The sequence below is a fragment of the Homo sapiens genome, chromosome 13 (assembly GCF_000001405.40).
Source record: "Homo sapiens chromosome 13, GRCh38.p14 Primary Assembly".
NCBI lineage: Eukaryota > Metazoa > Chordata > Mammalia > Primates > Hominidae > Homo > Homo sapiens.
In genome coordinates, this window is record NC_000013.11 from 77812675 (window position 1) to 77839867 (window position 27193).

The window sequence follows — 27193 nt, forward strand, 5'->3', positions numbered from 1 at the left end:
ACCAAGCCCTACAAAATTATACATGGAATAAAGAGTGAACCAATTAATAACTGATGTTTATTAAGCTTGAGCTTTGGGTCATTTTAGTCTCAGTGGCCCCATGAAGTTCACACAATGCTCCTTATAAAATGAGAAATCAGGAATTGATTTTCATAATGCTACAATGTATAGGGGAAATTAAATGGACCAAAAATATACAACAGATGGTTAGATGTTTCCCAATCTCATTCCCTCTTCTTGGGCTGGTAGGAAGACTGTTTCCCAGCCCTTGTGGTAGCTAGGCTGGACCGTGTGACTATATTATGGTCACTTGGTGATCACATGTGACACGTCTTCACTCTGGGCCTTTTCATAAACCTCCCTCCATATCCTCCATGTTCTCATTTCCTCTTCTTGTGCTGACTACAGAGACCATTTGTTAAGAATGTAAGAGTCGGCCGGGCGCAGTGGCTCACGCCTGTAATCCCAGCACTTTGGGAGGCCGAGGCAGGCGGATCATGAGGTCAGGAGTTTGAGACCAGCCTGACCAACATGGTAAAACCCTGTCTCTAGTATAAAAAAAAATACAAAAATTAGCTGGCTGTGGTGCTGCACACCTGTAGTCCCAGCTACGTGGGAGGCTGAGGCAGAAGAATCGCTTGAACCCAGGAGGTAGAGGTTGCAGTGAGCCGAGATTGTGCCACTGCACTCCAGCCTGGGAACCAGCCTGGGCGACAGAGTGAGAATCCATGAAAAACAAACAAACAAACAAACAAAAACAATGTAAGAGTCCTGGAGTCATGGCTTTGAGGGGAGCTGCCCAAGAAAGCCTCTGGACTTGCATTGGGTTGTATATTAACTCACCAAGATTTCAAGGTCTGCTTGTGTATACTTGAGCATATCCTAGCTTATCCTGAGCAATGTCTCAGAATAGCTTGATAGATATTCAAAGCAAATATCCTCATAGATGCAGCATACAGGATTGGGCTTTTCCAATCGCTGTGAGAAAATTCCACAAGGAGGTGAGACAATGGTTCTGGTGTGTGCCAAGACTTTTGTTTTTAAGGAAATAGTTTACAAAAAGAACCGAATTATAAACCATCAAGCAGACTAAAATGTAGTATTTATTTTAGAATTATAGAATATTTTATGGGCAGGACCTCAGAAGTTGTCTCGTCAGTGCATACTCCAACCCAGTACATGAATCTCATCCACATTCACCCTCCACTTACTCCTTCCATAATTTGGATTACTACGATAATTTCTACTTATGAAAATTTGGGAGATTTTAAAAAATTTATTCTCTTTCTCTTTGTATTTGCTTGAACAGAAACATGTATCAAATTTTTTTAAAAAACTAAAAAAGGCAATGAATATAACAAGAACCAAGATAAACACATGCCCCATGTAGCTTGGCCTAAGATACAGAAATGGATGTATGTGTGCAAGTGCATTCTGGGGGTGGGGTGAGGTTTCTGGAGAAATTAAGCACTATATGGAGACTTGACAGATGAGAAGGAGTTTCAGTTGCCTGGATAGAAGATGAAACCAGCCACAACATTTCCAGGGGTTAATGCACCTGGTGACTTTTAAGTTGAAGACAATCGATACTCATTTACCATTTAAAAAATCATGGGGCCCTTAGGAATTATGCTTAATCTACTCTGCCTGTACTTTTATAAATGGAGCAACAAAGCCTGGATGACAACACATCTGTTTATAGCATGGATTACTGAATATCGTAAACCCACTGTTGAGATTTACTGCTCAAAAAAAAGATGCCTTTTAAAATATTACTGCTCACTGACAATGCTCACTGATTAGGCTCTTGGTCACCCAATAGCTCTGATGGAGATTTACAAGGATATTAATATTGTTTTCATCCCTGCTAACACAACATTCATATTGCAGTCCATGGGTCAAAGGATTATGATATGGTAAGAAATACTATAACCTTATGAAATATAAGAAATACATTTCTTATATGTATGAATTACATATATATATACACATACATATATATATGAAACACATTTCTTATATGCCATAGACAGTGATTCCCTTGATAAGTCTGGGAAAGGAAAATTGAAAACCTTCTGGAAAGGATTCACCATTCTAGATGTCACTAAGAAAATTCATGATTCATTGGAGGAGCTCAAAATATCAACATTAAAAGGAATTTGGAAGAGGTTTATTTCAACCCTCCTGGATGACTTTGAGGGGTTTGAGACTTCAGTGGAGGAAGTACCTGCAGATATTGTAGAAATAGCAAGAGAACTAGAATTAGAAGTGGAGCCTGAAGATGTGACTGAATTCCTGCAATCTCATGATAAAACTAATGGATGAGGAGTGGCTTCTTATGGGTGAAGAAAGAATGTAGTTTCTTGAGAAGAAATCTACTCCTGGTGAAGATGCTGTGAACATTGCTGAAATCACAACAAAGGATTAGAAGATTACATAAGCTTAGTTGATAAAGCAGCAGCAGGGTTTGAGAGAACTGACTCCGATTTTGAAGGAATTCCTACTGTGGGTAAATGCTATCCACCAACATCTCATGCTACAGAGAAATCTTTCATGAAAGGAAGAGGCATTGTGTGTTATTCATTGTTGTGTTATCTTAAGAAATTGCCACAGCCACCCCAACCTTCAGCAACCACCACCCTGATCAATCAGCAGCCATCAGCATTGAGACAAGACCCTCCAGCAGCAAAAAGATTATGAGTCACTGAAGGCCTGGATGACCGTTGGCAATTTTTAGCAATAAAGTATTTTAAAATGAAGGTATGTACATTGTGTTTCAGATATAATACTATTGCACAATTAATAGACTACAGTATAGTGTAAACATAACTTTCATATGTACCAGGAAGCCAAAATATTCATGTGACTCACTTTATTGCAATACTTGCCTTATTGCCGTGATCTAGAGCAAAACCCACCGTATCTCTGAGGTAAGCCTGTATACGGATATGTACACGTACATACACATCTACATAGGCAACAAGATGCTGAAAAAGGCAAGTGAAACTGATTTTGATTTCTAGCCTCCAGAACTGCAAGACAAAAAAGGTTTTGCTGTTTTAAGCCACCAAGTTCATGTGTATTAATTTGTTACAGCAGCCATGGGAAACTACTGAAGAGTTGAATCTTGTGGAAGTGGTGTGGTTCTGGGTTAGGAAATGCCATTCAGGTTTGGAATTGAGCATAGAAGTTCAGCTGAATTTCATTGAAATCAGAGGTTGGGGCTCTGAGGCAAAGGTACAAACGGATTGTCCACTTGTTTGTTCAGGTTCCCTGGGACAACACAAAAGCAGGAGTACAGAGATGTATTTTGGGACTGGGCACCAAAGTCTTGAATTCAATGTGGAATTAGTGTCAGAAGGTTCAGTGGAAGACAAGGGATGTGGAGTAAAAGAGGCTGGAACCAAGTTTCATTAATGTCAAAGAAGAGGGATAGTTACGTGAGGTGGAAGAAATACCTTCTACTGCGTGGGGAGTGGAGATGCCTCTTGGACATACAGATAGTGCAGAATGGGGCACCAGGAGAAAAATCAGTCTCATGGTCGGGCTGCAGGAAAAGTGAATTTGCAGGCAGTAAGCCAGATTTCAGTTCAAAGAAGAAGGTGGAGAGTGGATGTCTTACCTGATGTACAATTCAGTTCATTTGCTTATTAGTTTTCTCAGAGATAGATGTTTTCAGAGTTAGATTTTATATTTCTCCTCAAATCACCTACTTGATATCTCCACTTTAAAACACCTTTATTATGTCTTTTTCTGTCAAGGGTGATCATTTAAAATATCCTTTAAAAACAGTGTTAAATGGAGTAGAAACTTAAGGCAGAAGAAGCTGTTGCATAACCATATTGCCAAGAATATATAATGCCATTTCCTTTTTTTCCCATCTTCTTATTTGTATAAATGTAAGGGGTATAAGTTTAGCTCTGTTACATGGATACATTGCATAGCAGTGAAGTCTGGGCTTTTAGTGCAACTGTCATACAAAAAATATACATTGTACCCATTAAGTACTGTCTAATTTCTTACTCCCCTCCCATCCTCCCACTCTTCCAAGTATCCAATGTCTATTATTCCACACTCCATGTCCATGTGTACACATCATTTAGCTCTCACTTGTAAATGAGAATCTGCAGTATGATGTCACGTTCTCACTCGTTTAATAGGGCCATAGGAACAAGTTGGGGATTATTTTGCATGAACAGCTGGCTATTGCTAGACATGAACAAAGTAATTGGAAGTGATTTCTCTTTAAGCAATGCACCACTGGACCTGTATACTTTATATGAAAATGTTGACTTTCATTCAACTACTAAACTTTTTATAGACATTACAAACATATCTGTTGACAAAACTCAGTCTTTGATATGCAAAGAATATGACTTTGTTATGAAGCTTATAAAAGCTCATTCCTCAGAGTTTATCTAAATGACTTTCATCTTCAGTGGTCTGTGGAATATTACCCAGTCTTCACACTGCACCTGTCTGGTAAGAAGACAACATATTATCTCCATTTTAGAGAATGAAAAAGAAGAATGGGGTGAGTCTAAGTGATTTACCTACATTAATTACATCTTGAAAAGAGATCATAGCCCTCATTTTTGATTTGTAACCTTGAGAATGTGTTTTGATGTAAAGCTTTCTGACGATTTTCAATTCAAAATCAATAACATTTCACACTGTATATAAAATATGGTAAGTCGATTCTGCTACACTTTGAAAATGTGAATTGGCTTCAACACGATTAATATATAAAGAAAGAATTTGAACATGATATGAAGTTCATGTTCATAAATGTACAATTTCATCCTCAGAAGCACTAGGTAAACACAGAAAACTACAGCCCTTGCAGCTGGCCCTTACATCAAAGGAATACACAAAGCCCACCCTGTGCACCTCAAATGTCTCCCGGTTAACTAAAGTCTTTGGGTGTATTATGATCCACTGCCCTCACTCCCCTTCACATCTACTGTTAACAACATTTTTGTTTTTCTGATTTTGGAAAATCCTCTTTCAACACTTTACAATGACTCACAAGCTACAACCCTTCCAGACACCCACTTCTGCAAGCAAACTTCGGATTTTGTTCAAGTAAAGTGCAATAGTTACTGCAGTATTTGTGTATTTCTTAACCACTTAATGTGTGCTACTCTTTTTTCCAGGTTCTTGTCTTGTTTTTATGTGTCACTGACATGCATGGCACCTAATCCCATATTTTCTCAGATGCCCTGTGGTTTATATTACAAGATATTGCATAGGGCAGTGATTTTTAGGAATGTGTATATCGCATTATATATAGATCATCACACTCTTAAACTCCACAAACAATGATCTAGCACTTGTTATGTTTCAGACACTATTTTGTACATGGTGGGGGATACAAAGATGAACAGTTCTGGTCCCTGCCTTCTAGCATCATAGTTTGTCAGAGATTGTCACACACACAAATGTCTCTAATGATAAGTTATTATGTGCTCATAAATGAAGAGTCACAATGGTAAGGTGGAGGGAGAGAATAATTCTACCCCAGAGGATCTAGGAGAGTTTCCTGGAAGACATAGGGTTTGACCAGCACACTGAGGAATGAGAGGTGCCTTTAGTAGGTATGAGGGAATGAGATAGAAAGAAGGGTTTTCTGATGCATCTTAAATGGCCCTTTATTGTAGTTATTTTTTTTTTCTGTTTCTCTCCCTCTTCCCACCCTCTGACAGGCCCCAGTGTGTGTTGTTCCCCTCTATATGTCCATGTGTTCTCATCATTAAGTGGCACTTTAAAGATGCTTGCATTAATTGACAATTCTGAGTCCATAATGGTAGAACTTTTGAGAAGCAAACTGACTGCCAAGGAAAAATCTCCATGCACTACAAACAGTTTTGGCTTTTTTTGAAGAGATTGACAATCAGTTAGGAGTCTGAATCAGGTAAACCTAATTTTTGGTATTCATCCATTTTTCCTGAGAACAACACTTTTCTCATTCTTGCTGTCACTCTTCTCTAATCTCTAAGTAATTTTCCTTTTCAGTGGTTTGTTTCTGCCTGAACATTATTTGATAACATAGCTGTCACCTAAAAAGAATGTGGTCTCTTCCAGAGAGGCTTAAAACTGCAGAGGCATTTTTAGGGAGGAGTCTGGAAGGATGCAGGAGAATAGGAAAACACATTCATTGAGCACCTACCATATGCCAGGCACTGTGAAAGTCAGTTTCATATATGTGATGTATTTGATGTCATAATAACCCCATGCATTTATGTAATTAATCACACCCATTGCAGAAGGGATGGAGACACTTGCTGAGCCTATAGTAGTAGTTCTTAACTTTGACTGTTCCATCAGAATCAAACGGTGGGAAGAGCTTTTAAAAATCCCTTTACCTAGACCATACTCAGCACAGTGGAATTAGAAACCAGGGTGCTGTGACCCAAGCTTTGATATTTTTTCCCCATAATCCTCAGGTGGTGCCAAAGTTCAGCCCAAGTTGAGAACTACTGACCAAGAAAGTCTCTTATCCCTGCTGTAGTGACCTCACACAGGGAAGTTTGAGAGCAAACTCCTTAGTTTGATTTAAATGGCAACTTTGTGTAGATGCTACCATTCACATGATAATAGAAGAGAAAAAGAACTCACAACATTTTTTTAAAAAAACTATTTTAAATTAGAAATTTGCTTATGTAGAATCTATGGGATTTGGGAGCTGGTTGGTTTTAGGAGGCAATTGTTCAGTTCTGCTTATCTAGGCTGGAGCAAACTTGGAAGGAGAAATCAGATATATGAGGGAAGTTTCTGGGTCAGTCCAGACAGGGTATTTATTACCATGGAGATGCCGAAAACCAAGAGTAGTGCAGATGGCAGGTGTAAATGATGCCCTCAGTTGAATCAAGGTGTCTTGAAGCCGGGTCTTGAATTAACAGATATAACACAGTCCTTGGGATCCAGAAGTGAGAAAGGAAATTTTAAAATGAGAAGGGCCAAAATGCTTCAAGACAATGGGGTGAGCTAAGCACAGTGACTGGTGGTCACTCTTGGCAGGTGCCATGTTGGGGGAGGTTGGCTCTTACAGGCATCAGTCTCCAGATGTCAGTACACAGGGAGGAATAAAAAATAATGACATGACAATAAATTCCTTAGGTGATAGTTTTATAATGTCCATTATTACAAATAAGGAAGACAGAAAGAAGAATAGACTCTTGGTTGTTGGGGAGTGTGTATGTGTCAGTTGAGGGGAAGGCTCAGGGTGAGGATGATACGGGAGAGTCTAGGCAGAAAGGGAAATGGTAAGTTTGCTTTTGGTACATATTTAGTTTGAAATGCTGGTAGTTTATTCCATGGAGGTGTCTGGAAGCTGGGGAAAGATATAAAGTTGTTCTGAGTTTCAGTAGGTCACTGAAATATGCTGTCAGATACACCTTCATCCAGGTCCTTGGTTGATCAGTGTTTCCCAAAACTCTGGGCTCCCGATTCAGCCTCCAGTGGACTATATTTGTTGGCTGTTTCTGATTCTGTAAGTCCTGATTAAAATCTCCAAGTACTCCCTGCATGTGTAGGCCAGAATTATTTGGAATGGCTTCATCAGTTTTCTAGAGAAAACTATACGAGTATATAGTTCTTTCAAGAATTCACTCAGAAGTGTCTAGCAGTTTGGAGAAAGCAGCCTGGAAGGCCATGCAGTTTTTGCCTTCTCTTGGTTTTCCTGCTCTTCAGTGGTCATGCTAGTTCTTCTGTGTTTGTTTTTCTCCCAATCTATTCTTTTACTGCTTTTTACCCAGGAGGCTGATCCCTGAAAACTGCTCCCTTTCTAGATTCTGATTGGGTTCAGCCAATGAGAAACCCTGGCAGGAGATCAAAGGACAGAAGGAGAGATAATCAGGGTATTTCATCTCCACCTCCTCCCCTCTTTGGTACCGCATCTTTGGCAGTTGCTGAAATACAGCCCTTGCCTGTCAGAACCTTCTTCGTGGCTCCAGTTTTCATTGTATCTTGATAACACTATTTCCTCCCTTTTCTTCTTTAACCAAATACATAGTAATGACTTCCTTCTGTGGCTTATCAGTGCCTCAACATACTTTGTTGGTTCCTTTAACCTTTCCCCGAGCTCTGTAATTATTCCCTTTATTATAGTCTCTTCATTTGAATAATTTTGGAGGAGGTGTGGTGACTTCTATTTCTTCTTGAGATCCTGATTTATGAGTCCTGAAGAGGGACACAGGTCCCAGTACATCCTTAGCTCCAAGTGAGATCTTATAGCCTAGAGGAGACCAGGATTTCAAAGCAAGGCCACCCCCTGCCACTAGGGGTTCCACAATTTGATAATTTAGGTCATTTAGCGTACCAGGATCTCCTATTATATTTCCTACTTGTAGACTAAAAGGATCCCTAAATATTCTTTGTGTTCCAAGATGAATGTTAATTATACCACTCATGATTATAACAAGATGAGGTTTAGTAGATAAAGCAGCCACTCTACAGATATCAGAAAGGATAGTTAAGGATCTGAAAGATCTTTTCAGTGACATACTGTTTAGTGACTTGAACAGGAACAAATTATTAATATATTTTACTTTTAATGATGTGCTAACACTTTGTTTGAACTAAAGTTTCAGGTTTTCAACTAAGCATAGGCGTACCCAACATTTTTTTCCATAATAGTTATTGGAAACAAGGTTTTCATCTTATTTGATGTGATAAAATGATACTCTTCCACCCTCACATAATTATAGGCAGGAGCCTCATTGATGAATGTGCTATTTCCTTCATTTGCAGGTAGGTACTTACATTGGGCTTATCTAACTCAATGAGTAATCATAATTACATAATTACAATGAGAATCATAATTATTGCACACATAAGAACTGGGACTTTATTTTCCTGCTATTAAAATGTATTGTTTCATATTTAGAGTTGTGAGGAGGACTTTTAAAAGTATTAAAGAAATATATAAAAATGACTAAAATAAGTAGGAGAACTTTCTGGGGTCCTTAAAAATAGGATAGTGTTAAATAAAAATAAAAGATTGAAGGATCAATTAATAAGTACTTTATGGTGTGATGGGTACTGCTTATTCATCCCCACTGGGGAAATAACATAAGGTTAAAAACCCTTGTTCTTTCAGCTCCTCTCTGATCCCTTGGCTGGAATTTCTCATATCTGAGGTGTCTTTTTTACCTTTGTCTCAACAATTCTTCTGGGCCAGGCTTAACTACATGGTGTGACAGAACTCATCTTGAAGGATAAACATGACAGATTATTCAACTAAGACTCAATAGTGGCTGAGCGAAGAAGCTACATCCAGCAACCTGGCCACAGGGTAGGCGCTGGAATACCTCATTAGAGCCAGAGGGTTCAGTGCTGAGGGTAGCAAGTTCTTTTTACAATTAGTTATGCCTAATGTCCTATGTTTGCTCTGTCTCTGTCATTCCGTAGTAAATTTCTGGAGGCCAGGAATTGTGTATTCATTTCAATTCCCCACAGCATCTCATAGGGAGCTTGGCACCTGTATTATTCATCATTGACTTATAGCCAAGTCAAGGTTAACCTATAAGCACTAATGCTGACAGAAATGAATGAAATCCTTTCTTTTTTTGAGCATATCTCATTTTCCATTTCATGTGATTGAGGAAGAGAGTATTTGCTTTGAGATGAGGTTTAAATTAGATTATTCAATAAGATTCCTTCTGGTTCTAGGATTCCAGAATTAAGTGCCAATTAATGAAGCCTCAGAATGCTGATTGCCAAAAGAATTGATTACTTTGACTTAAGGTATATGCTAAGGAGTAGACCTTATGTTGGATACTGCCTCATGGTATGAACAGGCATTCTTTTCTCAGATGTCTCCTGAGTCATTTACATGTGTTTTGGGTGAGATTGGTCTTTTTAATGGGCACAAGAGGCAAAAAGTAAAGTCTTCCTTCCCAGTATTCATGTAATTGTTACCGATCTTCAGGGCTCATAGCAATAAGCAGGCTGTGGAGTTGATGAGGAGGCTGGTTGAAAAGCCCTATTAGAGGTGAACAGGGTCCTCTCCCTCGTACTCATTTGCACCGCTGGTAGAGTTAATGTTTTGAGTCTGAAGGACACTATGACTGTTATCAGTTTTATTGGACAAGTGAATATAAAGGTAATTAAAGAGACCATGCCTAATAACCCAACTCTTACAATTTAAAAGTAAGAAAGAGGCCTGATAGGGTACCAGGGATATACCTATCATCCTAATTAAGTGCTAACAAGACAGTTGTCCTCACTTTGGTAACTTCAGTATATTCCCTGTGTTAACTATCTCCAACCAGTGGACTCATCTACAATTCTTAATTCTGCTCCATGGTTACCCTTCTTCATTCTCCACACGAGCAATGTTTCTATAGGCTTCAGTGTTTAGCAGGTGGTGTCCCAAATGCACTCACCCCAAATTGCCCATCCAGTTTATTCATTCATCCACCTTTTCACACCTTCCCCCTGCAGTTCAGATTTGGCCAAATTGCCACACAGTTTGCACTTACCATCTCCTCCAGCATTTCTACTTTATTAAGCAAGCACATCTCATAAATGAAAACAAGAGGAGACGTGTGGCAAGCCCATTCTCTTATTTCACTAAAAATTTTAAAAATCACCTACCCAACACGTAGTGCTTCAGGAATGTGAGTAGAGATAAATCCAATGAATCAGTAGAGATAAATCCAATATTTAAATGAACATGCATAATCGAGTGGCAATTTTCTAAATAAGAGAAGCCTCTGGCTCTAGCTGTATTTAAAGACACCTCAATATTTTGATTAAATATGCCAAAAGGCAGAAAATGTTTTTAGAAATGTATAACAATGGTTTATGATGTACAAGGCAAAGAAAAACTCTTGTATAATTACCTAAAACCTCCCAATTTTATTTGAGAATTTGTTTAGCATCTCTTTTTAGCCTTGTTAACTGTAAGTTTGAGTTCTGAGAATGAATGGCATTGACATTTTCTGTGAGGTGGATGAAGAAAGTGAAATCCGGAGAGCCTGATTGATCCATCAATATTTGCTGAATGTTAATTCTAAGAAAAAATGGACTAGCCATTTCTGTATATAGCCAACAGGCCCAGGTATAGTTACATTAACATGACACTAACCTAAATAGAGAATTTGTTGGTGACGTTATGACACTTTACTCCTGATCATAATTTACAAATAATAATTTTCTTTAGGCATAATAAACTTTTACTGTGCACAGCAATGTAAAAGGAGACTATTTGAAACACAGGAAATGATTATTCTCTATTCAAATACATCTCACTGAAACTACTGTATCTTTTCTTTGTTCACACATTTTTCCCTTGACATTATTTTTTAATTTCTTCCTTATAAGACCTTCTACCAAAGTAGTTTGTTTCTGTAATTTTCTAACTTTCAGTATGTATATAAAGAATTACATTTTTAAATCTTTTATAATATTTTACTTGGAATTTTAAGATATAACTTCTGGTCAAGTCCAATATATTTCTTCAAAATTAAGTCTTTATCAAAGAAGAGAGGTATTTGATTCTGTGTGATAATTGCTTATGGATATGAAATAATCAGTCAAGATCAGCTTGGCTGGGCACAGTGGCTCGTGCTTGTAATCCCAGCACTTTGGGAGGCTGAGGCTAGTGGATCACCTGAGGTCAGGAGTTTGAGACCAGCCTGGCCAACATGGTGAAACCCTGTATCCACTAAAAATACAAAAATTAGCTGAGTGTGATGGCACATGCCTGTAATCTCAGCTACTCGGCAGGTTGAGGCAGGAGAATCTCTGGAACCCGGGAGGCGGAGGTTGCAGTGAGCCGAGATCACACCATTGCACTCCACTCCAGCCTGGGCAACAAGAGGGAGACTCTGTATAAAAAAGAAAAAGATCAACTAGATACTTGATGAATGGCAGGGTTAGAATCATAGAAGCTAGCTGGCCCTGAATTGTTGATCAGTTAAAAATGATCATGGGGTTTTTAGAATAAAGAAATGACATCATAGAAGTAGTCTTTTTATACAGTGTGTTAGGTAGTGTAGAGAAAATACTTTTTTTAATACACAGAATTAATTCAGCATGCAGAAAAGGCAAACCAATGGCATTTCCCTAATATAGTTGGAATAGGCAATTCAGGATTCTCATTAGAGCTATCAGTGACTGAAAATAGGCAGCAAAATTGGCAAAATCCATTTGTGTGTGTTGAAAACACTCAGTAAAATAGGAATGGATCTCTATTTCTTTAAAATGATAAAACATACACTTTAGACCAAAAGCCAGCATCTTACTTAATGGGGAAACATTAGAGGCTTTCCCATTAAAGTTGGGAATAGAATAAGATTTAAGATTGCCCATTATTTTCACTATTATTTCACATTGTGTTGATAGTATCAGCCAAGAAAATTAGAAAAATGAAAGTAATTAGAAGTGAAAGAAAGAGACAAAACCACTTATATTTGTTGGTGACATGGCATGGAGGAAAAACTACTACAGAAGATATTAGCAATCATAAATAAAAACAAAATCCATGTTCAACATTCTCAAGAGCCAATTGAATAGACTCTCATTGGCCAAAAATGGGACAGTTTAAATATCAGTAAGAATAATGAGCATAACTGACTGAAACACATGAAATGTGCTTAAATCCATGAGTTCACAATAATGCTAAAATTTAATATTCCTAATTGGTCACCATTTACATTTAAAATTTAAGTTCCTAATTGGTCACCATCTAGTATTAAAGGGTACTAGAGAACCAATTAATTACTGGCAAACTGGCAAATAAAGGGAAATAATCAGGCATTTATTCTGCCTTTCTCATGTGAATTGTAACCAAATAGTATGTAAGAGGAAGTTTCTCTTTATGGAAGAATTCCAACTAATACATAAAAAAGGAATGATAATTAGAAGATCCTTATTTTGTAAGCACTAAGGAACTAACAGATCTAGGCATTGGTCATCAGTAGCTGCTAACAAAACAAAAATAAGACAATCAGAAATTATGAACCTCCTGGTGGAAGAATACAATAGCATCCATGAAGCAGTTTTGCCATTAAAAATTTTTAGCATGAAACTACTTAATCTTTAAAGCATCTACTTATTTGTAATTATTGAAGAAGATAGAGAGGCATTTAAACTACACCATGGGGATGCATTCAGTAAAATCCAAACTTTGAGAAACTCTATGTGGTAAACATTGTTTTTCAACTTAAGTTGCAAAGAAATAAAAATGGACAAAGAATGACCCTGTGGATTAGATGAGATACATGATACATATGAACCAATCACGATGGATGAACTAGATTTGGATCCTGTTTAAAAAAGAAAATACCTCTGTGGTGACTCCTGCAAGATCTCACTGTTCCCACCACTGAGGAAAGTTGACAATGGTACCTGGTCCTAGTATTAGAGTTCAGACCTCACCTTCCTTGCTACCGCCTGTCCAGGAACAGCCTCTGTACATTGCAGTGTCTGCACCCTCACGGTGCTCTTTCCTGAGTCTCCATCTTGAGAGCGTTGGCAAAGCCCAAGTCACATTCCTCGACCTCAGCTATAGGAAGGCCAGGAAAGTGAATATCTGACTGCTCCCACGGGGAGAAAGTCCTCCTAGTGTGGGAAGTTCCCCAACAAAGGAAGGTATTCAAAACACTGGATAACCACAAAGTGTCACAAATGTCTATTCCAGAAGTTTTTATTTTAAGAAAAGTTAATTAGAAATGTATGATCACTAACAACACCATGGCTTCTAGACTGATGTTAGTTTGATGAAAGCTGGATTTCTGTCAGTCATACAGACGTGTGGTGAAATTCAGCCATAATTGAAATAGAGTGGGATTAGTGAATGAAATACAAATCCTACTTTATGTGCTATTTCTTTAAATCTTTATGCATATTGAAGTATTTTAAAACATGGTAAATAGATGTTATGACTTTCTACTTAAATGTTTCAATAAAGTAATTTTAAATATTTTAAAGCATATATTAAATTAATTTTTATTTTAGTCAAAATAAAACACACTAATTGTATTATTACTAAAAGACAGTGCAAAAGAGCTTTATGCTCCCCACCTACTGCTGTGCTCACCTTTTAGCAATGTATTCTGCTATTTGTGTCCATTTTCAAAATAGTGTGCATATACTGATTTGATTCTTCTGTTTTATTTTATTTTTTACTTACTTTTTATTTTTGTTAGAGACAAAGTCTCATTCCACCACCCAGACAGGAGTGCAGTGGTGCGATCGCAGTTCACTTAACCTCAACCTCCTGGCCTCAGATAAGCCACCCAAGTAGCTGACACTGTAGGTTTGTACCACAATATTCAGCTAATCTGTTTTGCTGTTGTTGTTTGTAGAGACAGAGTCTCCCTATGTTGTCCAGGCTAGTTTTGAACTCCTGACCTCAAATGATCCTCCTGCCTTGACCTCCCAAAGTCTTGGGATATAGGCATGAGCCATAACGCCCAGCCCACTATTTAATTTTAGATTTAATTGGTCAACTGACTTCAATTATGATGAGTTAGGATTTTAATCTCCCAGTTTCTTTTTCCTAATCCTCCTTTAATTCTCAAAATATAGTTATATTACAATCTTAGGTTAACTTTTTACCTAGTAGTTTTTTTAAATGTGATCATGTTCATTTTTAAGCCATGTAATATATATAAATTATATTTCCTTCATTTTATGTCTTTTCAACTATTGCTGTAGCCTGTTTGCTTTTTAAATTTTTCTTAATCTTTTAATCTAAGCCTAAGTCTTCTGTACTCCGATAACTCTGTGCAATGCCTCTCAATTCAATTTTGCACATAGTCAAAACTATCAAAGAGTCGCTTTGCTTCTCTTCTGAATAAATTCTTCCTGAAGATTCTGAAGCAATCTGGACTGGTTGCTTTCCAGGCCTGCTGCCAAGTGCTCATAATTGTTAATACTGAATATATCAAAAAGGAACCGAGAGACTTTCATATGCCAAGTTTTATATGAAGTATTCGACACACATAACTTCACTGAGTCCTTACACGTTTCATTCATTCAATAAATATTTATTAGCATTTACTAAGTGCCATATGCTGAGTTAGTGGATGGGCATATACTATTGTATAAACCGATGTGGTTCATGGCCACATGGAACTTACAGTCTCAGAGAAAAAGCAGGTGGAAATCATACCCTGAGATAAGCGGAGGGTGCAATGAGCACATATAAAGTTTGGGAAAATCTCTGAGAAACTGACACTTGAGTTGGCACCTGACGGATTTGTTGAAATCATTTAGGCACAGTGGCTGATGAGAAGAAGGGAAGTGGGAGAGGATATTCCAGCGAGAGAATGATGGCGCATGTTCAGGTCCTCTGGCTGGGTAGAGTTCCACATTTGCAGCCCTGGAGATTTTAGGTACAGAAGCATATGATGTGCCTGGAGTGAAGGGGAGATCAGTCAGGGGCCCAGGTGCTATGCTGCAGATTTCATTTAATATCTACTTCTGGCTCCTGCAATTTGACAATCTCTTTAGGTTTATTATACATTGGTTTCCTCATTTTGGCTTTATTTTCCTACTTTTTTAGGCATCGGAAGCTCTCAGAAGAATAACTACTTGCTCTCATCTTGATCCATAGGAATTGACCAGCTGACCAGCTGGCTAAGTACCCAAATGTGTGTGGTGAGGGTGAGACTTAAAAACAGAGCTCAACATCTGAAATCTAGAAAAATTTGGTGCCAGTGTTCTTCATACGAAGTTAGTGATGCGCTGCCAGTATTGCAACAGCATCCTCCTGGGACACATTTCTAAGTAGGTGCTCTTTATTTATTATGGACAACTCTCTGATGAGGGACTAGGGGAAGGTGGCAGAAGCAGAAGAGATATGGTGTTAAGCTATGAATCACGGCATCTTTCCCAAAGAAAGAATTCAGTGCAGACACATGGCCTGGGACAATGGCATATTCACACTCAGAAAACTTGGTTAACAAATTGTCAGAAAAAAAAATCAAGCAGATCTAAAAATCAAGCAGATCTATTGATGCTACAGAAAAAAAGGATTAGAAGAACTTGAATTGTTCAAATTCAAAACAAAACAAACCTGAATACCAAAAACAATTTGTTGGTCAAGAAGTACCTGAATCATAGTGCTATTTCAGAAGGTGTAGATCCTTTGAGAATCTTTTCACTCTTTGTTTGTAAGGCAATCTTTTACTGCTCCACTTATGGAGAGAAAGCATTTGGAGAAAAATGCTAGCTTGATAAATGTTTGAACTATTGTAGTATTGGATACATGCCCAAATGTCATTTATCACATTGAAATTAAGCTCTTCTTTGCATAGGTAATTGTGATGCCTATAGTTGATAGCTGTTTGCAGGAGTGATCCAGTCTGAATGATGTATTTTCCCTCACATTCTTCCCAGTGATGGACAGTCTGTATCTGCCTCCTGCCAGCTGCATTGCAAACATAATATGCTCTTTGCAGTTTCAATCAAAATGTATGTTGTTTTAAACTGGATGATGTTTGGTAAAGTTCTTTAGCTTAAGGAAAAATATTTTGTGCTCTGTCACACTTAATAATAACTCCCACATGCTTGAGTCATGTCGATCACATTCAGGGATTTTCAGAAGAGTTTGTTTTTCTGTGACCGTAGTCAGTAACAAGATGCAGGCAGAAAACAAGACTCTTAACTTGAATTCTGCTGTTGGAAGGCAAAATAAGACTCTAATGGTGGAGGAAGAATATTCTACCTGAATTTACATCATGTTGTAGCCTGGCTCCTTGCATTTTGGTTTTATTTTGCTGTCTCCATGCCTTTTTTTGTTTTGTTTTGTTTTTCTGAGACAGAGTCTTGCTCTGTCACCCAGGCCAGAGTGCAGTGGCACGATCTCAGCTCACTGCAAGCTCTGCCTCCAGGGTTCATGCCATTCTCCCGTCTCAGCCTCCTGACTAGCTGGGACTACAGGCGCCAGCCACCATGCCCAGCTAATTTTGTTTTTGTATTTTTAGTAGAGACGGGGTTTCACCATGTTAGCCAGGATGGTCTCGATCTCCTGACCTCGTGATCCACCTGCCTCAGCCTCCCAAAGTGCTGAGATTACAGGTGTGAGCCACCACGACCAGCCTGCTGTCTCCATGCCTCTTATGGATGTGTCTGTATTGACTATCTCAGAGGATGACTGCTAGAAGGCAGGGACCTGGTTTATGTCATTCTTTGTACACAGACCCAAGAACAATGAAGAACTTGCTAAAGCTATTGGATGTGATGCCCAGAATTTATAATCTGAAGCTGTCATTTGAGATTGTTATGGCTGCTGGAGCTGATAATGTATGGGTAGTTTATTGATTGGAATACTGGAGCTTAAGTCTAGCCCCTGGACCATAAACCAAAATTTGCCTGATTTCAGAGATAATTTTTGATGGACTTACCCTAACCTATCTCAGATGACACTCACATATAAGTCAGAATATAAACTTAATAATGAAAATATACATATTTACCTCTTTCTTTCTTCAATCTCTACCTTCCTTCCCTCCTGCCTTCCTGCCCTTCCTTCCTTCCTTCCTTCCTCCCCCCCTTCTTCCCTCCCCTCCCTCCCTTCTTCCCTCCCTCCCCCCCTTCTTCCCTCCCCTCCCTCCCTTCTTCCCTCCTTCCCTTTCTTCCTTTCTTCCTTCCCTCTTTCCTTAAGTGGTTTAGTAAATTCCTCCTCTTTGCTTGAACTTTTATATAGTTTCTCCTATTTGTGAATGCTCCCATGTTAATGATGAAGAAATTAAAATTCCAAAATGTTCAATAACCCATTCATGTTCACAAAGCTCATATATAGCAGAACACCAATAAGAATTGAGATCCGTATAGCTTCAAAGCTACTACTGTTTTATTTATTTTATTTTTACTACATTGAAATATATAGTCTTCTGGTCTACTAATTGCCTTTTTTTAATAGGAAATTCTTCATGGAAAACTGTACTGTAACTGGAAGTATTTGAAAATCAAAGTAAGAGATGAGCTGAATGATATAACACAGGACTGCTGTAATTGACCAGTTTAGCCGGATTATTTTATTTTATCTAGGGATATAGCAACCAAAGGAATCCTGTGTTTAATTTTATAAGTCAGAGTACCCTTTCAGATGTGCAGTATTTGAGATATTAGAATAATTTTTTTCTCTTTGGGCTCTCCCTTTTTCTAAACCTGTTGTCCTTCAGATAGGACACAGTATTACTAACCAGATGAGAAAAGACATTGTTGACATGCCGAAAATGGCAGATCAAAGGAGCCAAGGAGCCTGGGTCCTTAAAAGCATAATGGAGCCACTGACCTTATTTACTTTTTTTTTTTTTTTTTTTTTTTGAGATGGAGTCTTGCTCTGCTGCCGAGGCTAGAGTGCAGTGGCACGATCTCTACTCACTGCAACCTCTGCCTCCCCGGGTTCACACAATTCTCCTGCCTCAGCCTCCCAAGTAGCTGGGATTACAGGCACCCACCAGCATGCCTGGCTAATTTCTGTATTTTTAATAGAGATGGGGTTTCACCATGTTAGCCAGGCCGGTTTCAAACTCCTGACCTCAAGTGATCCACCAGCCTCGGCCTCCCAAAGTGCTGGCATTACAGGTGTGAGCCACTGCACCAGGCCCACTGACCTTATATTGATACTGCCTATCTCCAAACTACTTAATTAAAAAAAAAAGCTCAAATATATATATTTATGGTTTACATCACTATTAGTCAAATTGTTTTGTGACTAGCAACTGAAAGCATTAATGATACATTGAACTTGTTGGAGTACAGCAGGCTCTGCCTAAGTTGATACAAATACTGGAAAAGTACTATTAAATATGAGTACTGGAAAATCACATTTGTGATGATTTTGGATTGTTTATCTCTTTGCTTGGCCCACCCGTAAAATCAAGTTTCAGGCTAAAGGAGAAAAGTCTCAGTACTTTTTCCAGTATCAAAAAATGCTTTTAGATTAGCAGTGTCCTTACCCTTGAAGAATCTGCTGTTTCATGAAGAGGTGATCTTCCCATGTCTGAGAGGAGGCTGAATGTCATGGATGCTGTGAAAGGATGGCTGTGCTGGCTGGGACGTTGGATAAGGTGACCTCTTCTAAGTTTTAATGCCTGTGATTTTCTAAGTGTCGCTGCCTTTAAATGGAAGTGGCCTCTTCATCACAGAGTCTTCATTGAGAAGAATTTGAGCAAAGGACCCGTATCCATGGTTTGGTTCTGCCTCGACCTAGCATTGTGATTTTGAGAAATTAGCTTCCCCAAGTTTCTAGTTTTATTTTCTCTAACAATGAGATAATTTTCAATTAAAACAATTAGTTGGACACTCCCTCCTCCATCTCCTTCTTTCCCTTTTTCTTCATTTTAATGGCTTATTACGTGGAGCCCCATATTTAGACCCATAGGAGAAGAGACGGTCTGGTCTTCCAGAGACGAGGTTGAAGTTCTGCTTTTCTGGCTTCCTTCTCATTTTAACCCTCTCCTCCCTGTGGAGCTGAGGAATGTGTAGAACATAGTTTGACAAACTCTGTCTTAAATGTCACTGAGTTCTTTTAAATGAGAACCTTCTATGATTCTACCACAGATTGAGCACAGAGTCATAACAAGAAGATCACAGCATTTACATCCGCCGAGAGGAGGCAAACTGACCTGTTGTTTTTCCCTCTATTGTTGAGTTAATATTGACTGAAGCCATTGTACCCATTGGCCCATGAACGTAAAGAAGTTTTATCAAAGAGCTATTAAGAACATGGAGTCATTTTGCTTACTTCTTAGGCCTTATCCAAATTTTAATATATGGTGACTTTGAATGCAAGATTTCAGACCGTTCTACTAAACTTCCAATCTCATTATACAAATGTTCTGATACAAGAGTCTTTGGTCACTTTTCACACAATGAGACTTTTTAGGCCTCATACAAATGACGCTATTTTTATACTGGGGCAAAATAACCTGATCACATTTCTTCTTTGTGTCTGAACTAAAGCTTGCCTTCTTCCTGAATGTGTGCCTTGAAATAAATGTGTAAATTAACACTAAAAATTTCATTCCTAAAGAGATTTCTTTATGCTTGTTTTATATCAAGTTCTTACTCTGCTTACACATTAAAGTTATAAAATGCATAGACATGGCCATTATTAAACTTTGAAGATCTGGCATGCTTCTATGTGAATATTATTTCATCTATAGCCTTTGAATTGAGAAACTCCTTTGTGTGATTTCAACAACCTTTTGTCCAGAGTTAAATGCACTGACAGGGCTTTTAGACAGAGCCACAGAAAATTCTCTGCTGAATACTTAATCAGTTCCTAAGTTGGCAGGCTTCCTCTTTTCCTTTCTTCAAGACTATGTGGCTAGACTACTAGAGATTTTTATTTGTCACTGAAAGTTTAAGACTAAATAATTTGGATATACTCTATATCATATTATTTTCATCACATACATTCAATGTTTTATACAATGTACATACACTGAGGTATGTTGAAATTTTATCATTTTTGAAAAATGGGTTTATGTTTTTACTAGTGCATTCCTTTACATTCAATAGCTTAATTCTTAATTATTTCACCTAATAGGATTACTATAATCTCTTTACATTTTAATACAGAAATCTGAATCAGATGAGATCCTATGTCTAGCAATTAAACAGAAGATTATTGGGCAATGAAAAATGTATTGAAAATTGCTGTTAAACTGAGTAAACAATGATGGAGGGAAGCCAGTGACATTCAAAATTTTCTCTTTGTCTAGTGCTTCACAGCAGGAACTGTTTCTGGCAGCTTGGTGAACCAAGAAAGGCAATATTCTTCTGGGGTGAGTTCTTATTCATTGGCTATCTGGAGTGCATGGAGAAGAGCTTGACTGGTTGGCTGATTCCTGTTCCCCCACTTTCTAAGGAATCAGTTCAACCACATGTTTTCTCATTGTCAACTTTATATAAATAGACTTCCCTTGGCTATTGTTGGTCTTTCGAAGAAGGATTGAATCTTGTTGAAGTTTCTTTCTTACAGACATAGAAAATGCTGGTAGCCATAACACTCCAAACTATTTTTCTGGATCTTAATTTGACTAGGGAGAGAGAAGGTCATTTTTGTTTAAACAGGGATTGCATTTTACAGAAACATTGCCTTGAGAGACACAACATGAATTACAACATCATGATGTATTCAGCCAGATGTCTGCAAGACAGAAAATCACGTGACTGAGCAAGGCATGTGAATGTTCTTAAAGGGGGAGAAATAGAAAAGAAAAACCAAACATGCATCAGATATTTCCTTTTTGCATCACATTATTCCCAATCATATGGATGCCTTATGTTTATAACTTGCCAATTATGAATTTCCCCTCATGTATATTAAACTTAAGGATCACTATAATTTTAATCTTGTTAACAAATTTGCTGTTTGTCTATATCTATTTAGGAGATTAGCATCCAGGGCTCATTAGGTATCTGTTAGGATGGTTGTTAGGGCATAGTGAGAAATTATTTTTTGGCACTCACAACAAATGTATATGGATATACATTTAGTTTCTTGGGATCCTAGTCCATGTATTTGAAAAGTATATGTACTTGACGATCCTGAGCAAAACTGGAATCATTTGAATTAATTCATCTTTTTTTTTCACAATTGGCAATCTCACGCTCAGTATATTAATACATATTCACTAAATAATCATAGTGTAGTTTGTAGTTTCTCAGTTGCACAGAAATGGTTGGGTTCTTTCAGGGATCCTTACTTGAAGATAAGGATCAGAGCACTATTAAGGAAAGGGAGGATAATCCTGAAGTGTGGGAGGGGATGGTCATGGATTTACCTATTTTTACTATTTGTTTTATTTACTCTATTTCTAACAACCCAATCACTTCTCCAGTGGCAAAGGCCTTTGGCATTTGGTAGGCACCCAATGCATAATTGCTGATGAAAGAATGAATTCTATTGCCAGGGCATCCATTTCATTTTCTCTGCAGCCACACCATCAGCATGGCAACTGCCCCGACAGCACATTCTTTTCATGATTGTTTTAAATTTCTTATGCTATTTTCCGTAAGGTAGTGGTCTATATAATTTTTAGTCATGCACTCCTATTAATTAAGTTTTGTGCATGTAGTCTCTAAATACATATTTTACAAATAAGATATTCTGTTGCTTTATAAAATATAGTTAATCAGAAGAATGAGATTGTTAATAACAATTCTAATAATTATTTCTCCATTTTCATGGACTGTCTTGCTAACCTTCCTTGTACACTGTATTCTGGAGAACCTTGGCTGTTGAAAGCATAAAGGAAGAAGAATGCAGTTTTTGCCTTGGGGAGCTTACATCTTATCTGGTATACCAGATAAACACAATGAAGGACAACACAACGGTAAACAAGGTATTTCATATCATGGTGGACTAGAAGAGAGTCCCTGTACAGAATTTTGCTAAAAACATAAAATTTAAAACATATTTCAGTCTGCCACCTTTGATTTGTAGTAAGATACTTCTTATGTTGAATTGAGTTTAAGCACACTCCAAACTTTGCAATAGATACATTCTGTTCTCTTGGAATCATACAGATTTAATATTAAGAACAATTTTTCTTTACTTCAATGTTTCTCTTTTTCTTATATCCTGAAAAACCTGACCACTTAAAACTGTCCTTCTAATCCCCGGCAGAGGAAATTTTACTTTTTGATAGGACACTTTTGACCTAGGTTTTGACTCTGAGGGAAGGATAGCCTAGGAGGCAGGTGTTTCATAAGTACATTCTAGAAGTTCATTTACTTCAGGCATGCAGGATGACATAGCAAAATGTTTATGGATCACAAACATAAGTGCAGTGATTCTGTAAATAATCCAACAACCTAACTTGTCTTGGCCAGAAATCTAGATGCTGACATCATGGGAAATATCCTTTTAGTTTGATGTATGCATCTTTCTTCAGGGCTCTTTATCCTTTAATACCTAATTGTTCTACCTTGTTTTTTTTTTTTTTTCATTCCTACTCCTTTTCTTCTACCCCTTAGGTCATATGTATCTATCTTCGTCACAGTCAAGGTGGCCCCTGTATGGTGGAAAAGGTCACTCCTTTAGTGGGAAATTAGCAAATATTTACCTAAAGTGAATTCATATAGTCATTTGTGAAGTAAATCATCTTAAGAAATGGTACAAAAATAAAATATTTCAGAATCTCTACTGAGTGAGGTATATTTGCAAGGAGATAATGGTATACTATTTATCTACTCATTTGTGCTATAACTTGACTATTTAAAATGAGTATATTAACATAAGGATTGTGCTGTATATACAATCTAGGAGAAAAAGGAGAAGGTCAAAAGCTAAGATCGGTGAATATGTCTCTAGGAATAGTTGTCCTGGGTCCTCTAGACAGCATGATAAGTATAGAAGTCTTGGTAAATTAACATATTGCCATTTAGGTTTACAAATTCATTTCCTGTGATTTTGGTTAATGTAAGTTTTAGGTCACCGGAGCAAAGTCAACTTTGGACCCATGATATAGAGAGCTAAAACCTATATTATGATGAATCTACTAAGACACCACACAATAAGAAGCTCTGTCTGAGGCCCCAGCTGGCTGCTGTGACATGTTTTTAGCTTCCACATATTAGTTATAGTAATACTAGCTGCTGTAAAATACAAATCTCAAAACTTTAGCCACATAACAAGATAAACTATTTATTCTTGTTTATTAACACTCTAATACAGATGTTCCTAGTGGGGGAGTAGGGGGGGGCTTTGCCCTGTGCAATGTAGGGTCCAGATTGCTGGTGGGGTGGTCTATCATCTTCAACACCTGGCTCCTCAGGTTGCCTTGGGTGTTGACATCTTACAGGCAAAAGGAGTTGGTGTGGGTAAGAAAGGCATACTCACTTTTTAACCATGTTGAAAGGGAAGTGACATATATCTTTCCTGCTTCGGTTCCACTGGGACAAGTCAGCTATATGCCCATATGTAGATGAAAGGAGGAGGGGATTAGGAAATGTAATCTCTCATAGAGCAGCCAGTTCCCAGCAATTACTCCACAATAAGGAAGGAGAAGTGAAGCTCTGAAGAACTAACTGCTGAGCCCTCTCTGCCGTAACCCATAATATTGTGAAATGTTCCTACGGACAAGAAGAATGTTAAAGTAATCATTTTAAATCTTTCAGTTTGCAAAGCAAACTTTTGCTGCAATGTTTTATCTTTAAGAACAAGGCATGCATCTTATATTAACAGTGAAAGTTTAAATTATAAAGTACAGCATTTAGATTACATTCAATATACAAAGTGATGGTGAATCCTGACAATTACCTACTTAATTTCATTGCTATAGACAACTGACTCATCTAGACCTATCATAGATTTGTCATCTAAGTTATGTAACTTGGTTTACTATTAATATTAAATAGATAAATAAAACAAACTCTTTGTTTGTTTTATAGTCATAAATATAATATAAATTGTGCATTTTATTCTTTTCAAAACTGTTCCTAATTGATTGGAAGGAAAAAAAGTATTTTTCTGTATGTGAAATAAAGAAAACTCAAACATCTATTTTACAGTTTTGATATCTGTTCATGGAAATAGTCAATGAATTGGAAAGAGATTCTCTGTGATATATCAGATTACAGAAAATATCACCCAAAGATAAATACATATTTCTTAGCACACAGTACTTTAGAAATATAGAAATATTTAATGGGCAAAAGATGGACTAAAGTAAATATTCAAGCTACTTGTCCATAAAAGAGCCTGAATTCTGTTTTAATATGTAATCTAATGTAGGTCTAGTCTTCTTGTTAATGATGTTTTTCCTTGGAGATGCTTTACCTTTATTAATTCTATATTCAGTGAAATGAAAAGCAAACACAAAACCAAACAAATTATTTTAAATTAATTTTTTTTTTGAGACAGGATCTCACTCTGTTGCCCAGGCTGGATTGCAGTGGTGCAATCTCAGCTCACTGCAACCTCTGCCTCCCGGGTTCAAGTGATTCTCCTGCCTCAGCCTCCCGAGTAGCTGGGACTACAGGCACAGGCCACCACACCCAGCTAATGTTTATATTTTTTAGTAGAGACTGGGTTTCACCATGTTGCCAGGTTGGTCTCAAACTCCTGGTCTCAAGTGATCCACTGGCCTTGGCCTCCCAAAGTGCAGGGATTACAAGTGTGAGCCATTGCAAGCTGCCTAAAACTAACTTTTGATTGCAATTGCAATTGTCTTTTTCTTTCTCTTTTTTAAAAACGAAATTTTTGTTCTTTTAGTAAACTGAATTGCTGTCAGTCCTATAAATAGATCTGATTTAGCTGGATGTTTTATTGATTTCCAATTAGCAAGAAGGCATAGATTTGGCCTCGTACAGCGAGCCTAAGTATATAACAGTGATCAGGGAAGATTTTGGGGCTGCTACCTTCCTCTCTAAAACAACATGTATTGAACAATTAGAATTCCTTAGGTGTTAGGATGGTGAGAAAATGAAAGTAACAATACCAATGATTAAGTGCCTACTCTGTGCTACCTGTGTTAGAGGCTTAAAATCACTGAATTTCAGAATAATTCTGCAAGAAAGATTTCATTATTCCCATTTTGCATATGTAGAGCCTAAAATTCAAGGAGGTTGAGTGATTTGCTCAAGGCCACATAATTATTTTCAGGAGAGGCAGCATTCTATTCATTTGTGTCTGATCCCAAAGCTCTTATCTTTTTCCCTAGGCTAATCCTCCTCTCTCAGTAAGGTATCCACAACAAACATTTTGGATCCTTAGATAAGTTTATTATTACACTTTTGCAGATGTCAGTCCTGCCTTACTCTGACATTAGTGACTGCCCTAGGCACTAGCATTTCACTGCACACCATAGCAATTATTTATGATTTGGAGATTTGCAGCCTGGGGCTGGTTTACCGGAACTGTTTTGAACAAAAACAAAAGGAACTCTTTTCTTGGTTGCTCCAGGATTCTTTGATTCTTTGATCCAAAGAACTCTGTTGTCTGTAGGAGACGTGGAGGAGGAGTACACACAGAAGAAAGGCCTTTTCCAGGCCAGTGGCCTTGCTTGTTTTATATGAGTTTAACTTTCATACTAAATCTCATCCACTTCAGCAATTTCTTTATGGTTAATTAAAACTCCCTGTGATTGTTGTGGTATGGTAGAGATGGAATGGAGATGACTTAGGAGTGAATAAGATGATTTCCAGGCACTGGCAGGTGAAATGTGTACCATTTTGCAAGGCAAAATTATATTATAAATCTTTGTCCCTGGTATATTGAGCAAAATGGATAAGGGTCACTCATAAACCCTCATGCTGCAGCCGCCAACCCCTTTTTAAGACTCAGCCAATGCCTCAATTTCTCCAGGAAACTTTTCTGATCTCTTCATGCTCCAGGCTAGGCAGCCAAACTCTATGCTCCACAGCACCTTGTTATTGCATTGATTACATTAGCGTTACAATAGATGTTTGTGTTTAATAATAGTTTGAAAAATAGGACCATAACTTTGTCTTATAAGTCTTTATACTGCCGGTGACAGTTTCCAATGCCCTAAAATTTCTCAATATAAGTCTTTGAGAAGACCTGAATTGAGTTTCATTTATTTATTTAATAAATATTTAGTGAACACCTATTATATGGAGACATAAGGAAGAGGAAAATCAGACATTTTCAGCTTTTCATTTTTGCTACTAAAAGTCATCAGTTTGATTATATCAGATTGAAAATTTGTTTCAGGATTTGACATCTGAAGCCACTCAGACTTGTCTGTCTATAGAACTAGTGTGCTTCCTTCAATTAGGCACCAGCCTTGTATAATCATCCTATGTGTGGACAACTGAGAAAGAAGATACCCAATAAAATAAGATTCTTAATAAATCTTCAAAGGACAATAATTGACTAATTAGTTATCACTGATGTCTGTGTATATATTTAAACATAGAAACACTGTAGTTAGTATTCAAATAAACTTAAACACCAAGTAGAAGCAAGTGCCCTTGTGTAAAGTTCAGTTATTATCAATTTCTTTCTTCTCATCACCAAATCTAAGCAGAAAACTTACCATGACTTTTTCTTATGATCACATTTTTCAGGGCATATATGCAATGTCAATGTAAATTTGATTGGGTGTGTTAATCTTCTGCTTAAAATTTCATACTTAAATCACTGTCGGAATAAATTTAAAACTTTAAAATTTTTTGCATGAAATAAAAGGCCTCACATCCCTTCTCATCCTATTAAAGCCCCTTTAGTTGCTATTCATAGGCCCCCAGCTGGCTA

At 37.6% G+C, this 27193-nt stretch overlaps 1 long non-coding RNA gene across 1 annotated transcript in view, besides 1 other annotated feature; it reads left to right on the plus strand.

Annotated features, from left to right (window-relative positions):
- The first annotated feature begins 6262 nt into the window (after nt 1-6262).
- The window catches only part of EDNRB-AS1 (EDNRB antisense RNA 1), an 89506-nt gene continuing 68575 nt past the window's right edge, over nt 6263-27193 (plus strand). The window contains exons 1-6 of the long non-coding RNA NR_103853.1: nt 6263-6336; nt 15569-15741; nt 16354-16428; nt 17879-17929; nt 20691-20753; nt 21059-22316. This is a non-coding gene — a long non-coding RNA (EDNRB antisense RNA 1). The remainder of the gene's footprint in view (nt 6337-15568; nt 15742-16353; nt 16429-17878; nt 17930-20690; nt 20754-21058; nt 22317-27193) is intronic.
- Nucleotides 19319-20905: an enhancer, noted in NCBI's record as "VISTA enhancer hs1394". NCBI's record gives its function as "enhancer in: hindbrain (rhombencephalon)[6/9] | forebrain[4/9]" and the evidence as "EXISTENCE:transgenic organism evidence [ECO:0001131][PMID:17130149]".